We start from the raw sequence: 17641 nt of genomic DNA, 5'->3' as shown, positions 1-17641 counted from the left end.
TAATGATGGTGATGATGATTATGGCTATGTGTGTGATGGTGATGTTGAGGTGTGCCATTTGAATAAACTAGCCCTGCATTTTTGTGTCTTTTAGGGAGCTATGGAAAGGGGAAATGGATCTAATATGTATTGAATTCTATTACTTTCCTGATTTTATTTCACTTAATTCATACAACCCATTTCCATTAGTAAAGAAGTTAAGGCTTAAACAGGGAAAAACCATGTGTCTAGTTCACACAGTTTCAAAGTATATGCACATTAGTTGCCAGACATTCTGTTTATAGGACTCTAAGATAAATTATCTTGGGTTATTCCTTTGATTATGATAACAGCTGCTTTGGGCAACTAAGGATGATAAATTTTTATACTTTATAATAAAAATTGTGAAAATATTGCCTCAGCCTAAGCTCTCACAAGGACCTGATCCAAACCCAAGAACATTTTAAACAAAAAAGGGTAATTCCTTTGCTTCTAGTTCTTGGAACTCTGCGGTGTAATGATAGGAACTTGAGGTTTGGAACAAGATAAATGAAGTGTTCCTGTTCTACTTTCCTTTTTAGAAAACACCTAAGTAAAACCATTCTTGAAAGGACACATGAACAAATTGAACCAGTCAGAGGGGAAAGATCAGGATGATGAAGTGACTCAGAAATCAGGTAATATTAAAAACAGTTGGAAGAAACAAGGAGAAAGTAGACTCAAAGAACAAAATAGTGGTTTACTTTAAATATTTGATATTCTGTTTTATGGAACTATGTTTCCCTATATGTCTAAAATAGGCAGAATTGGGACCATTGGTATAAAGCACACTGTATTTTTATAATATTTGTACAAATTTATGTTCTGCACAAGCTTCCTTTTGTATATGTACTAATTTGTGATGTATTTGTACAGTGTTTGGCCTCAATACAAGAAAATATTATCTAATAAAGAAAATTGTAATGAAAAGAGATAGTTTGTGAAAAACTGAGTTCCTAGTCTATGGAATTGATTTCAAAGGGAATATATTTTAATTCATGATATTGAAGATGCCTTCTAAACATGATAATCTATAAATATGGGCTAGTTTCTGGAGAATGTATGATATTCCCAGCAGCATCAACCTCATTTGCCTCTTCTACCATCTTATCCTGGATAGATTTAGTAATTATTTTGTGCACCTACTGGGAAAATACCAGTCTCTGCGTCTGTTATATGGCCACATGATACTGTAGAAAGATCATGAACTTGGAGTTAGACAGACTTGAGTTTCCAATCTTGAATTTTTCCACTTACTATTCTGAGGACATTATACAGTTTCCCCAGGCCTCAGCACTTTTTGTCTCCAAAATAGGAATACCATTTATTTGGTAGCAGGATTTAGTAAAGTGGTATGTGAAATGCCTACCACATGGCAGTAATCAACAAATAAAAACATCAGTACCATCTGATGAACAATATTGACATGGATGATTGCCAAGGAAAAATATTTACTTAATTTTTCAGTAAAGTTTTCATTAAAGCATAGCATATACACAAACATGCACTCAAAATATAATAGGTTGACTGGATACATTTTCTTAAAGTAAATAGTCTTTTTTCTTGAAACAAATACATTTTATCCTGCCTGCAGAGTATAATACCCAATTTAAGAGAGAAAATAAACACCCATTATTGAGCATGCAATATCAAAGCAGCTGAGTTTGATTGGAGTACACTATGTTTTTACATTATTTCAGTACGATACAAATACAAAATGGGCAAATTATATGTGAATATATTTATGAATTTTGGTCAGAGTAAACTTGTAACTAGCATCCAAATAGAAAATTACGCCAGAATCTCTCTTATACTTCCTCTTAGAATCTAACCACAAATTTATTCATGGTATGGCGGAGAGCAGATTTTTTTATATATATTCATTTTTTTGCATAGAAAGCAGTGCGTGTCCACCTAATTATGCATCAGAATTATCTGGAAGTTTTGCTAAACAGAGAAATCTAGAGGACCCCCCTCCAGACTCTCCAAACCAGAATCTCCAAACCAGTAGATCTGGAGTGGGCCCATCAATTTGCAATTCTAACAGGTTCTCAGGTAGTACTGATGCTGCTGGCCCAGGGACCACACTTTGAAGATCATTAGTCTGTAGCATTTCATTTCATGACTGCGCAACAGTTATTTATCCATTATTCTCATGATGGAAATTTAAGGTATTATGGATAATACAGACCTTATCATTTTTATACATGTGCTTGGATGGGTAGATACTTGAATAGATAAAGAAATAAAAATTACAGGGTTATGGTTTATGCATATATTTGTACATAATTCATATTGTGCAAAAGTTCAAGAGTGGTAATACTAACTTGTATTTTCACCTATAAAAGAGAGGCCTTGGTTATCTTCCAGAGTTTTTATAGTTTTAGGTTTTACATTTAAGTCTTTAATCCATCTTGAATATGTGGTATAAGGAAGGGTTCCAGTTTCAATCTTCTGCATATGGCTTGCCAGTTATCCCAGTACCATTTATTGAATAGGGAGTCCTTTCCTCATTGCTTGTTTTGCCAGCTTTGTCAAAGATCATACGGATATTTGCCAATGTCCATGATGAACACAGATGCAAAAATCCTCAACAAAATACTAGCAAATTGAATTCAGCAGCACATCAAAAAGCTAATTCATCATGATCAAGTAGGCTTTATCTCAGGGAGGCTAGGTTGCTTCAACATATTAAAACCAATAAATGTGATTCATCACATAAGGGGAACTAAAAACAAAACCACATGATTATTTCAATGGATGCAGAAAAATCTTTTGATAAAGTTAAACACGTCTTCATATTAAAAACCCTCAACGCACTAGGCATTGAAGGAACACACTTTAAAATAGTAAGAGCCATCTATGAGGAACCCACAGCCAACATCATACTGAATGAGCAAAAGCATTAACCTTGAAAACTGGAATAATACAGGAATGCCCTCTCTCATCATTCTTGATCAACATAGTACTGGAAGTCCTAGCTAGAGTGATCAGGCAAGAGAAAGAAATAAAAGGCAGTCAAATAGGAAGACAGAAAGTCAAACTATCTATGTTTGTAGACCGTATGATTCTATATGTAGAAAACACCATATTCTCTGCTCAAAAGTTCCTTGATCTGATAAACAACTTCAGCAAAGTTACAGGATACAAAATCAATGAACAAAAATCCATAGCATTCCTATACACCAACAACATCCAAGCTGAGAGCCAAATCAGGAATGTGATCCCATTCATAATTGCCACAAAAATAATAAAATACCTAGAAATACAGATAATCAAGGAAGTGAAAGATTTCTACAATAAGAATTAAAAACAACACTGTTCAGAGAAACCAGAGATGATGCAAACAAATGGAAAAACATTCCATGCTCGTGGAGAGGAAGATTCAATATCATTAAAATGGCCATACTGCCCAAAGCAGTTTACAGAGTCAATGCTATTCCTATCAAACTACAATGACATTCTCTTTATAATTTGAAAAAAAACTATTCTAAAGTTTATATGAAACAAAAATAAGATAAAAGCTCAAATAACCAATGCAATCCTAAGCAAAAAGAACAAAGCTATAGGCATCACCTGGCTTCAGACTACACTACAAGACTACAGTAACCAAAACAGTATGGTACTAGTACAGAAACAGACACATAGACCAGTGGAGCAGAATAGAGAGCCCAGAAATAATGCCACATACCTTCAACCATCTGATCTTCGACAAAGTTTACAAAAACAAGCAATGGGGAAAGAACTCCCTGTTCAATAAATAGTGCTGGGATAACTGGCTAGTCATTTGCAGAAGATTGAAACTTGGCCCCTTCCTTACACAGTATACAAAAATCAACACAAGGTGGATTAAAGACTGAAATGTAAAATCTAAAACTATAAAAACCCTGAAGATAACCTAGGAAATACCATTTTGGACATATGACTGGTCAAAGATTTTATGATGAAGATGTCAAAAGCAATTACAACGAAAAATTGACAAATGGGTCCTAATTAAACTAAAGAGCTTCTGTTCAGCAAAATATCGACCAAGTAAACAGACAACCTACGTAATGGGAGAAAATACTTACAAACTATGTATCCTACAGAGGTCTAATGTTCAGCACCTTTAAGCAACTTAAACAAATTTATAAGCAAAAAACAACCAATCCCCTTACAAAGTGGGTAAAGGACATGAACAGACACTGTTCAAAAAAAGACATTTAGGTGGCTAACAATCATAGGAAAAAAAGGTCAACATCACTAATCATTAGAGAAATAAATGCAAATAAAATCCATGAGATACCATCTCACAGCAGTCGGAATGGCTATTATTAAAAAGTAAAAAAATAACAGATGCTGGTGAGGCTGCAGAGAAAAGAAAACATAACACTACTGGTGGGAATATAAATTAGTTCAGCCATTGTGGAAAGCAGTTTGGAGATTTCTGAAAGAACTTAAGATACAATTACCATTCAATGTAGCAATCTCATTACTGGATATATATCCAGTGGAATATAAGTCATTCTACCATAAAGACACTTGCACACATATGTTCATTGCAGCACTGTTCACAATAGTGAAGACATGGAATCTACCTAACTGCCCATCAGTGCTAGACTGCATAAAGAAACATATGCACCATTGAATACTACACAGCCATAAAAAATAATGAGATCACATCCTTTGCAGCAACATGGAGAGAATTGGAGGCCATTATCCTAAGTGAACTAACACAGGAACAGAAAACCAAATACTGCATGTTCTCACTTATAAGTGGAAGCTAATTATCTAGTACATGTGGACAAAAAGAAGAGAATATAGACACCAGGGCCCACAAGAGGGGGAAATTGGGAGGAAGGTGAGGATCCAAAAACTACCTATTGGGTAATATGCTTATTAATACCTATTGGGTAATATGCTTATTACTACCTGTTGGGTACTATGTTTATTGCCGGGGTTACAAAATAATCTGTACACCACATCCCCACAACATGCAATTTACCCATATAACAAATCTGCACATGTGCCCTGAAGCTCAAGATAAAAGTAAAAAAAAAAAAAGGGCTAATGTTTAACAGCAACAACAACAAAAAAAAGGCTAGATGCTTTACATATGTAATAACTTTTTCATTTTTTAAAGAAATGGCACTAAATATGTAATGGTGTCTCATTGTGATTTTAACTTGCATTTTTCTGATAACTAAATATTGAACATATCTTCACATGCTTCATTTGAATATTCTCTTTTGAAGTACATTTTCAAGACATTTATTCAATTTTTTCCTGATTTACATTTTTTCCTGCTAGATTGCCCCATATAGACAGTCCCTATTTCCAGAAAATAGACCAAAAACTCCTATAAATTATATTAATGATTATATGTATAATTATATATTATATTAATATTTATATATAATTATATATTATATTAATAACTTATGGAGGTTTAGTCTATTTTATATTATATACAATTATATAGATTATATTAATATATGGGAGTTTTTGGTCTATTTTCTGGATATAGGGACTGTCTGTATGGGGTATCTAGCAGATGAGGACAGCAAATGGTATCACAGATATGTTCATTGTCCAGAGAAAGAGAATAAGCACCAGAATTGGTCTCAAAACTCTAGGGTGAGGGAAAAATATATGAAGGTTCTCCCAAGTCTTAAGGACACTTATGGAATTAAGGGACATTGCAGCTACAATCTGTGAATGTCTAAGCCCAGACGGGAGGACAAACATTTCCACAGATACCTGTAAGTGTAAATGACCTGAAGGTATAACACCCCCTTCTCCAACACCTCAGGCTGTGTAACACAATTTAACCACAGGCAGAGGAAAGTGAACACAGAAGCTGACCATTGAATTGTCCACACACGACAAAATAAGCCCTCCAAATGTGCTTATTCCTGTTCTTGTCCTCTCACTTGAATTTATGGATAAAAGATGTAGAGATTGTGGATGATCTCATTCATGAAAGATTTCATTTCCATAATTTTAATTATATTTAAAAATTGAAATTTTAACATTTATTAGAATTTATATCATTTTATTGCTTCTTTCCCAAATTGTAATCTGTATAATGGCTTAAATCAAATACCAGGGCTGGGACGGTTACAGTGCTAAGAAGCAAATATAGCTGCTAGTTTTGGGTGTCTTAGTCACCAACAGTCTTGTGACTACATATGAGTACATTGCACAGGATGGGAAAAAATAGGATTTCTCCAACTTGAAGCAAGACATGCCATAAGCATTTGACCGTTAAGTGTTGCATATCTGTTAGGGAAATGCTAGAAGAAAGAAAATGATACCTACATCATCCTTTTTAAACCAGGGCCCTCAGGACTGTGCATGTCTGACACAAAACCATACCCTGTGTCCATAGTATTGATTTTAGATTGTGGTAAATAAAGCATAGCAGTAAAGCCCAGAAAATTAATTCATGAAATGACTAAATGCTTCCCCTAAAACTGGTGACATTTAGAAGTATTTTTGATTGAAAAGTTTTAAATCTCCATAAAACCAATGCTAGATTAAAATGCAAGCCATGCTCTATGACTAACCTTAAGTGACACCCTTGTCTTTTTATTTCCTACAGGGTTGTAATGTTCTTCAGCTCTCACAGTGATTAATGAATGAAAGAATTACAAAACAGAATAAAATCAGTTAATTACTAATGCTCTAAATTGAAATTCATATTTAAATTGCAGTTCAATTTTTGTAATGAAGGAATACAAAGCATGCAATATTTTTTCATTGTATAAAACTTATAGAGATGCCATAGTACATTTAATGTAATTTTATAAAAAGAAATTTGAATCAAGAATTATTCAACCATATTTATGGAAGTAAAACAGTGCTATAGAGAAGCTGTTTCTATGTTTTCCGTTATTTTGATGATATAATTATCTTTTAGCTGTTTCAAAAAGATAATCAATGAAACTGAAATACTAACAAATTATCCAAAGTAAAAATTTCTGCATGTAATATCACCTTAGATACAGATAAACATAAGACGGAAAAGACTTTTTCCATCTTTTGAATATATTTATACTTTTTTTCTGAAACATTAAATTCTTCTTTAAAAAATTATAAAATGCTAAAGTATAGAAATGTATAGAGAGTAGTATCATAAAATATCCATGTATTCACAAGCTGATCTGTTACATTTACTTCAGATACATCATTTTTTAAAAATGAAACAATACAGGTACCCCGTGCATGGTCGCTCATACCTGTAATCCCAACACTTTAGGATGCCAAGGCAGGAGGATCACTTGAGCCCAGGAGTTTACGACCAGCCTGAACAATATGGAGAAGGTCTCTTCTTTATCTGTATCATTTCTGCTGGTTTCTATGCCAATTGCCTTATCTCCTTCAATCTTTATCTTTAAAACTGGATTGGAAATTATATTTGAAAAAGTGTTTGTAGTAACAGTTTGCATACTAGGATAAAGCTTTCCTTTTTCCAGAAAGGATTTTATTTCTCTTATATTGTCACTTTATGGTACTGGCAATCTAGAACCACCTTAAGCTAAAATCAGAGTGAGAATTTCTGGGACAGTCAGAAACTTATTTTCCCATAGCTGGGAAATATCTGGCTTATATTTAGCGTCCGCTGTCTCCAGCATGCTGTCCTTCATAAGAGAAGTGGTTTGTGCTCTGTCCCTGCCAGTATCTAGACTGCAGCCATTGTTCCCAAGTCCTGAGAGCATGTCAAAAGTTCTGCTTAGTCTGTGCCAAATACCCCCAGGGAAAGAATTTCTAAATGCAGGGTTTATTCTCAGAATTTCAGAACTTCTCCCTTGACCTAATTTACTATTTTACTAGTACTCTGCCTTTGAGATAATTTTTTAATGTGTTTTGTCCTGCTGTGTTAGCTTTCTTCAGTGGTACTCATTAATCCAAGTTATGCTAATCCATATTGCTGTAATCAGAAGCCATTCCAGGTATAGAATCTGACGACCACCAATGTCTTTCCAAGTATTTCTTTCCCTGTACTCTTTATCTCACTGAAACTCTCATTAGACACATGTTAGAACCTCTCGTTCTTTCATCTGATGGATCTTTTAATCTCTTTTCTCTACCTTTTAGGCACTTTCCTGAGATGTGTCTTATAATTATCCAGGTTTCCTTTAGGTCGTTACTTATCAGCTGTTCAATTCATTAATGGAGAATCTGCTTTAAATTGTTGCATTTATTTTAATATTTAAACGGTTCTATTTGTAACTTATTCAAATTAGATGACCTTTTTTCTTCTAGGGTCGATTTTTTTTTTTTTTTTGAGTCAGAGTCTTGCTCTGTTGTCCACGCTGGAGTGCAGTGGTGTGATCTCAGCTCACTGCAACCTCCACCTCCTGGGTTCAAGTGACTGTCCTGCTCCAGCCTCCCAAGTAGCTGGGACTACAGGTGCCCACCACCATGCCCAGCTAATTTTTTTTTTTTTTTGTATTTTTAGTAGAGACAGGATTTCATCATGTTGGCCAGGCTGGTCTTTAACTCCTGACCTCAAGTGATCCACCTGCCTTGGCCTCCCAAAGTGCTGAGGTTACAGGCGTGAGCCACCTCGCCTTGCCCTAGTGTTGATTTTTACTCACCATGTTTTCCCTTCCATCTCTGACAACATTTTTCACATATTTTTTCCATAGTTTCTTCCAGATAAGTCTGTTGTTTTTGCTTCTCGATATCACGATTCTCTTGTTGGTTGTATTGTATGCCTTTCTCTCATACTGGTTTCCACATTGTTTAAGAATGTCTATAGAAAGCTCCTCTTTGGAGATAGTTGATTTTTATTATTCAGGGATTTTATGTATCTATGCTGTCGAAGTGGTCTAACACAATAATTGGAATTTTTTTCTGCTAGGGCTTTGCAGTGGTTCATTGGTCCTAGACCAATTTTTAGGTCAAATTCCTTACCTTGGGAGTCTGATATACATTGGTATACATGGGTTTGTTTGGAGTTATAATTCCTCACAGAAGATTGAATTTTCTGCACCAGAAGCCCCGGAAAAGTTACTTTTAAAAATACTCTTGGCTCTTTTCATGACTACACAGCCTCTTGAGGCCCTAGCTTGATGCAGTTCTGATTCTGTACTTGACCAAGCCCAAAGTCACATGTATTTTTTCCTGTGTGGCTGTTAAAACATCAGGCTCTATTCTTTGATCTTCAAGTCTGATACCAACCTTGACATTAGTCCATGTTTACTGAGATGGCTCTTATTTCTGCTTTATTCTGGCGCTTGGGATTTACCTTAACTTTGTATTATCTGAATCTGTATTATTATTTTTCCAGTGTCATATCTTCTCCAGCATCTTAATTTTTCTTTATGAGAGGCGGTTCTATGATAGCTTTATGAGCTATGTAGTAGAAAACAGAATACTGACAAGCGGGTTAACTTTTTCTCAATGTATTAATATTAAAAATAGGATAGAATATTAACTATTTTAATAAACTAGTTTCTGATTATGGTTGCAACATTAAGTAAATCGTTAATTCTTGGTAAATTCTTTTAACTTTTCATGCTTCTCATTAGGATCAAAGAATCATATGGTAACATATAAACCTGAGGACAGGATCCTAGCTCTGCTAAGTTGTTAGCTCTGAAGTCTTGGGAAAGTTTTCAAATTTTTCTGAGCTATAGCTTTTTCTAATATTAAATTTAAATATGTGAAATGCATATAAAATGTGATAAATGGAGAATACTGACATAAGTTATAGATATGTGAAAATTTAGAATATGCATATATATAGCATACAGTTTATGACTATAGAAATGTGAAAATAAATAACATACTAATAATTATACCTCCTATAAAAGATATATGTCCAAATATAAGCAAAACACATTGCCAATTTGATATAATAAAGTAGCTACAGCTAAAGAATTTTAATGACTAATCTTTAGAGTTTATTTCCCTACAAAAATACAACTGTGAAAGATTAAGCAATTTATAAACTTGAAAGGTTTACTGCTTTCCTACATTTTCATTTTTTGCCATTTATAGACGATTTTGATGTGAAAGAGTTAATTACACTGAATAGATCTGGATTAATACTTGAGAGTGATTTAAACACTAGCCAAGAACCTAACTTACATATAATAATAATAATAACATTTGGTTTTATAGAGACTAAGTTTTCAAATTTAATAAATATCTTTCCGACTATAGTTATATCCATTATATTATTGCATTTATTTTTATATTTGCTCTTTTATTTTCTTCATATAGTTTAAGAATATTCTTTCATAAAAGGAAATACAATTTGAGTAATAAATGCGTACCTTTATATTTTAAAATAGTTTTCTAATGTGATCTTAACAGAGTATTAGAAAAGACTCTTGCAATTTGTAACAATAAATATCATGTTAGATTCATTAGCAGAAAATTTTAATATGATATGATAAGAAAGGCTTGAGAGCAGAGAGGATTATTGAGTGTATTCTTAAAATTTTCCAGGCTGCAGTATTATTTTGAAAATTATATATAAATTTTGTTTATGTGGTTGTATCCAAGATACATTGTAGTTTCTTGAGAACAGACATATTCTCTACCAAAGTTTTCAGGGTGCTTAGAATAGTGTGTGGCATAGAGTAGCTCAGTAAATGTGTCTTATTTGTAGAGGGAAGGCATTATGAGGAGAATATTATTGCACTGTTTTAATTCTGAATAGGAATTATTCAAGGGTGATGTGTATGCGTGTTGGAGTGGAGAGGGTAGTATTCATGGCAGAGTGGTCACATGCTTAGGGCATATTCTGGGATGTGCATTTCAGTTGGTGTGGCTGGAACACAAGGTGCAAGGTAGGAAGGGCTTATGATATGTGAGGCTGGAGATATAAAACAGAATTTTAATAGCATATTAAAGACTATGCTTTTAATCTTGCAAGGAAAAGGGAGCCACGGATAGGATTATTCTGGCAGCTCATAGAGGAAAACAGAACTAGGAACAAGAAAAGTAGGATGTGTGTGATGTTAACTAAAAAATAAAAATAAAAAGGGCATAGAGTAAGTACTATTTACTCCAGTAATCAGGAAAGACTGTGCAGATTCAATGAATATATTAGAATTTAAAGTGGAAGGACCTGTGACTGTCTAGTTGCAACATAACAGACAGATAAGAGAGCGTGCTTTAGAACTATCTGACTTGCATTTGGATTCTGACTCTGACATTCTCTAGCTCTACGAATGACACTGGACAAGTTTCTTAATTACTCTAAAATTTAATTTTCTCACCTGTGATTACAAAGCCACCTCAAGGGATTGTTGGGAGGAATTAAATGAAATGACGCAGACAGAGCACTTAGCACAGTTGTCTGTGGCACTTGCTAAGCATTCTGGTTGGGCATTTTTGTGGTGGGGTAAAAATAGACATCTAAGTCTGTTCATTCCTGTTTCAGAGTGGCTCTCCTATTGCAGGTTTACCTGCTACCAGTGTCTTTCTCAAGGGATTGTAGCATTTGAAGAAACTAAGAGGTTTGTTTACGTGATGGAGCTATTTTTCCAAAGGCAAATTAAGCAATGACTGAGGTACAAATTTGAGCATACTTCAGCTTCTAGTATGGAATGCTGTCAGAAATTTAATTTTTATTTTATTTTTTTGCTCCATCAATTAGGGAAGACAGAATTAGACAGAATTCTGAATTAGACAGAATTGCCTAGTAAGCACAGTTTATTTTTATTTGTTGACTTTCTTCAGTCTGGATACTTTCAGTGTCTTTTACATGTATCCTAAGCATCCTCCTTCCAAATCTCCACATGCTCTCATGGATCATGTGTTTCTTCTACATGAGAGGAAGTGATCTGGAAGGAAAATTTCTGGAAGCATATTATTGACTACTTAACTATATATACATATATTTAAATTAAATATTTTCACAGAAGAATGTTTATCCAAAGAGAGACCTATCAACACTTATTCTATGAGTTCGTCCAATCTATGACTTAACAATTTACATACCACTGACATTCAAATCGATATTACCATCTCAGAACTGTCTCTTGAACCCATACTGCATATTCAACTCCTTACTCTAGAGTATCCACTCCAAATTGATCTCTTGAATTCCTCCACAATCCTATTCCTCCCATAGTCTTTCCCATCTGGAAATACTATCCTTTCAATTACTCAGGTCAAAAATCTCAGGCCCATCTTTAACATGTCCTTATGCTCTACGTCCAGTCTGCCAAGAATTGTGTTGGCTTTGCCTTCAGAAGATAGCCAGAATTGGGTCCTTTTTTGTATTCATGGCTGCTACGTTTATCCAAATGCTCATGCCTCACCTGATTACTGCAATAGCTTCCCAACTCTTCTTTTTGTTTCCCTCTTCCTCCTCACTTTCCATAACATTTTCTCTGCACAGTAACTGTATTATTAATAGTTTTCTGTTGCTGCTTTTACAAATCACCAGAGACTGAGTGGCTTAAAACAATGCACATTTATGATTGTATAGTTCTACAAATCAGAAGTCTGAAACGGGTCTTGCTGGACTAAAATTAAGGTGTTGGCAGTCTGTGTTATCTCCTGGAGTCACTAGGGGAGCATCAGTTTCCTATTCATTCCAATTGTTCACAATTCAGTTCTTTGTGGCTCTAAAACCAAGGTCCCTGTTGTTTCGCTAGCTGTAAACTAAGTGTCATTCCCTGCTTCTAGAGGCCACCACATTCCTTTGCCACCATCTTCATAGCCAGCAATGGCAGAGAGGATCTTTCATATGTTACATCTCTCTGACTCAGTCTTGGGTCTCCCTCTTCCACTTTCCACCTTTGTCACTCAAGTGATCAGACTGGGTTCACTTAGATAATCCATCTCAAGGCCCTTAACCTTAATCACTTCTGTAAATTCCCTTTTGCCATGTAAGGTAATAAATATATTTACAGATTCCAGGGATTAGGAAGTAGACATGTTGGAGGGATCATTACTCTACCTACCACAGTAACTAAAGTGACTAATTTTAACTGTAAATCAGATCATGCTGCTCCTCTACTTGAAGACCCTCCAATAGCTTTGCATTCATTCATGGTGAAAGCCAAAGCCTTCAGTAGCCTACAGAGCCCTCCTTGAGATGACTCCCTCTCTACATTTGGACTTCATCTTCTATTATTCTTTACTTCTCATTCATTGCAATCTAGCCACATCAACCTTCTTCAAGTACTTGGATGACATCAGGCATGTTCTCTGCTTAAGACCTTTGCATTGGTTCCCATACCTGGAATATTCTTTCTTCTGCCGTATGTTCTTCAGATATTTGCATGGCAAATTCCCTCCAAGTTTTGCTCAAATTTTATTTTCTGTATAAAGCTACCTTCACCTCCTTCGAATCCAGGTACTTCCATTTCTGTTCTCCAAAGCACTCATCATTTTCTAACATACTATATAGTTTACTTATTTATTATGTTTACTGTTGCTCTGCCTTCTCCTCCTATAATGTAAGCTCCATGAGGGCAGGGATGGTTGTTTTATTCACAGGATGATTACAGCTTCATGGAACCAACTTCATAGCAAATTTTCAGTAAATGTTTTAAAATGACACAGTAAATGAAGAACAGTCTGATTGTGGCACTAGAGATACTGGTAGCTATAATGGAGAATTTTGTTATTTTTGTCTGCTCCATTACACACATAGTCACATACATGTGCTGCTGTCACACAGTGTTAAATTCAAATATGATTACTAAACAGAAAATTATGATGCTATCATATCAATGCAAAATTTCAAAATGAGTTATGTTTATAAACTTTGTAAAATTACATATTTTTTTGCATTCTCCATTACCTTCGTAGGGAATAAATTTTCCTTGGCACTCCATAGGATGGGTTTTACAAAATCTTTCTTCTCCAGGACATTAAAAATGTTCTGAGGCCGGGTGTGGTGGCTCACGCCTGTAATCCCAGCATTTTGGGAGGCCGAGATGGGCGGATCACTAGGTCAGGAGATCGAGACAATCCTGGCCAACACGGTGAAACCCCGTTTCTACTAAAAATACAAAAAATTAGCCGGGCGTGGTGGCGGGTGCCTGTAGTCCCAGCTAGTGGGGAGGCTGAGGCAGGAGAATGGCGTGAACCGGAGAGGCGGAGCTTGCAGTGAGCCGAGATTGTGCCACTGCACTCTAGCCTGGGCAACAGAGCGAGACTCCGTCTCCAAAAAAAAAAAATGTTTTGAGTTTGATCTTCGTATGTAAATCAGGGCTTACAAAGTCTTAAATGATCTGGTCCTCACTAACCTCTCCAACATCTCTCACCTGCCTGTCCTATCAAAATGTGTAATTAAAATAAAAAGTGCTCATCAGTTACTCCACATTTTACATCCTTGATTGCACTTAGTTCTGTCTTGACTCAAGGATTAACATGTGCCATTTTTCTTCCTGTATCCAGCCCTTGCTCCTTCCCCCTTCACCTGGCAAACCTATACTCTTTGTCAGTTTCAGCTTCATGACACTTTATCAAGGTAGTCTTCGCTGACTCTGGGTATCTGGGAAAGATACCTCTTTTATGTGTTCCCATAATCTCTACGTTTTCCCTAGAGTACTACTTTGGAGCTGTATTATTTTACTTTCTAGATTCCCTACACTAGGCTAACAGCTCCATGAGAGCAGGGAACATGATATTCTCTTCTACCAATGGACTCCAGTGCCTAGCAAAGTATCCTGCACATAGATGATCAATACATGTTTGTTATGAAGTGAATTGTGTGCCCCCTCTTCATATATGGAAGCCCTAACCTGAAATGTGATAGTCTTAGGAGATGGGCCCTTTGGGAGACAATTAGATTTAGATGAGGTCATGAGGGTGGAGTCCTTATGATGGGATTAGTGACCTTATAAGAAGAGATATCAGAGAGATTGTGCTCTCTCTCTCTCCCCCTCTCTCTCCCCCTCCCCCCTCCCCCCTCCCCTCTCCCTCTCCCTCTCCCTCTCCCTTTTGCTCTCTCTCTGCCATGTGAAAACACACAGTGAGAAAGTGGCTGTCTGCAAGCCAGAAGAGAGCCTTTAACAGAATCCAATCACGCCGGCACCCTGATCTTGGATTTGCAGCCTCTAGAACTGTCAGAAAATAAATTGTTTTTGTTGAAGCCACCAAGTTTATGGCATTTTGTTATGGCAGCTCAAACTAACTAATGCACATGTTTGATGGATTAAATGAATAACTAAGTAAAAAAATCAATGACTGAATGATTATTTAACAGTGATAATTATCTTATGATCCTAGGCCACTTTGGTGTCTCAGTTGGCCTGGTATTTTTGAGCCTGTAGATGTTATATTTTCTTGCTTTTTTTTTTTTAATGGACATTTTCTTGGTCAACATGATATAATGGAAACTCCAGATCTTCTAGTACATAACAAGACTTTGGGTTTTATGTTAGAAAGGTATTTTCCAAGCTCAATTTAAGAAGAACCATATATCTGGCTGTAGAAATATTGACACTATGAAATCCAAAATTGTTGACTATTTAATAACTACTGCTATGATCGTGTTAATTATATTGAAATAAATCTCCCAGCTAGAAAACAACTGATATGGAGAAATAAGAGGTATTTCATATATATGAAACAAAGACATGGAGAAAGTAAAGCATTTATACTACATACCACAAGAGGTAAATATATTTGCAGAATAGTAAATGGAGAAATATTTTTCTCTTTTTTTTTTTTTTTTTTTTTTGAGACGGAGTCTTGCTCTGTCGCCCAGGCTGGAGTGCAGTGACGGGATCTCGGCTCACTGCAAGCTCCTCCTCCTGGATTCACGCCATTCTCCTGCCTCAGCCTCCCGAGTAGCTGGGACTACAGGCGCCCGCAACCACGCACGGCTGATTTTTTTTGTATTTTTAGTAGAGACGGAGTTTCATCGTGTTAGCCAGGATGGTCTCGATCTCCTGACCTCGTGATCCGCCCGTCTCGGCCTCCCAAAGTGCTGGGATTACAGGCGTGAGCCATTGCGCCCTGCCGAGAAAGATTTTCTATTCCTGGTGGATCCGAGGAGACAGAAAGCTTTTCAAGGGCAAATGCCTGCCTTGTATAAATATGAATAACTTCTTAAAGAAGTTACCCTTCTTTAGTTAAGAACTCACTGTGATGTTATGTAAAAAGAATTTGTCTAACATTCAGAAGGTCTGAGTTTGGGTTACACAGTTAGTAAATAGTGGTCCACTAATTCTTTTTTTTCTTTCTTTCTGAGACGGAGTTTCGCTCTGTCTCCCAGGCTGCAGTGCGGTGGCGCGATCTCGGCTCACTGCAAACTCCGCCTCCCGGGTTCACGCCATTTTCCTGCCTCAGCCTCCTGAGTAGCTGGGACTACAGGCGCCCGCCACCACGCCCGGCTAATTTTTTGTATTTTTAGTAGAGACAGGGTTTTACCGTGTTCGCCAAGATGGTCTCGATCTCCTGACCTCTTCGTCCGCCCGCCTTGGCCTCCCAAAGTGCTGGGATTAGAGGCGTGAGCCACCGCGCCCGGCCGGTCCACTAATTCTTTTAAACTCTGTAAGGCATTTTTTTTTCCTGTTTAAATATATATCGACATTAGATAGCTTTGGCTGTGGCAAAGAGGACCTGCTATTGTAGGTCTGTGGGCTGGCAGTGACTGGGCGGGGCTCATCTGAGATTGGCGGGGCTCGGCTCTGTGCCATGTACTGTCTCATTCCGGAACATGGACGGAAGGCGGGGTCGCTGTTGGGCATGCTGTTCTCAGGAGGGCAAGCAAAGCTCTGGGGCACTGCTTCTGAAAGCCTCTGCTCACAATCGGCAGCTGACACCTGCAGACAATCTCCACTGTTGCAAGTAAGTCATATCGTCAAACAGCAAGTCTGAGGTTGGTGATACACTGTGCTTTGCCTATTGGAAGGAAAGAAATTAATGGAAGCAATAATTCAATATACCACACTCCCTCATTGAGTTGTTGAGTGAATTAAATGTGTTTATTGTATTTTTTTTCTTAACACTAAAGATTTAAGCATAGGTATCAGCATGAGAAATAAAAGGGAGCTACTTTAGCCAGTGGGGCATTATTGTAGACATTAGCAATCAGTTACAGAAGGCTAAGAAGCAAGGGAATACTAGAAAGATATGATAATTAAACTCACTACATTTAAAATAAAAGATGGAAGAAATAACATAGCTTGCAGCAGTCTGGTGAAGAATTTCAGATACGAGGGAGAGATTTTATTATGAACATTTTCTAGTATGGCTTAGGCTTATTTTACTAAAGTAATGCTTACTTGTAAATTATTTCTGTCCATTAAATATTTTGCAATATATTCTAACAGACAAAGTTTGTTCTACATATTCTAACAGCAAAAATTTTTTTGTTGTCAAAACTTTAGATGTGTTCTTATGTGTAATAATGTTTCTTTTTGAATAAGCAGGGAACAAGCATGTGTAAAATTGTGTGCTTAGTTGGTATTACAGTATAATCTTAGGTATTTATCTGATGCCAGCCTCTAGGAAAGTAGTAACTTTTACTAAACATATATGCTCTAGTGCAGGAGGCTCTGGAGCCTTGTACCATCAATTATCCACTTTCTCTTTATTCTAGTGGCTTCTTTATCAGGGAACATAGAAAGGGCCCTATTTCTAGTTTCTATTAATACTACTGATAAGGGAGGGGAAAACCCTCCTTCCAATCAGTGTTTCTTTCTACGTAGCA

General features: G+C 36.3%; 1 long non-coding RNA gene across 8 annotated transcripts in view; it reads left to right on the top strand.

The window, feature by feature from the left end:
• Positions 1-17641, top strand: part of LOC105369468 (uncharacterized) — a 383452-nt gene that overhangs the window by 9110 nt on the left and 356701 nt on the right. For 6 of the 8 annotated variants that reach the window (XR_007062870.1, XR_947973.2, XR_001748356.1 and 3 more), the window contains exon 2: positions 561-656. This is a non-coding gene — a long non-coding RNA (uncharacterized LOC105369468). Of the gene's footprint in view, positions 1-560; positions 657-16260; positions 16777-17641 lie in introns of those variants that run through there. The other 2 variants (XR_007062871.1, XR_001748360.1) reach the window with 1 other exon arrangement.

Source organism: Homo sapiens, chromosome 11 (genome assembly GCF_000001405.40).
Source record: "Homo sapiens chromosome 11, GRCh38.p14 Primary Assembly".
In the NCBI taxonomy this organism is placed as follows: Eukaryota; Metazoa; Chordata; class Mammalia; order Primates; family Hominidae; genus Homo; species Homo sapiens.
This window is presented reverse-complemented; position numbering and strand designations above follow the sequence as displayed.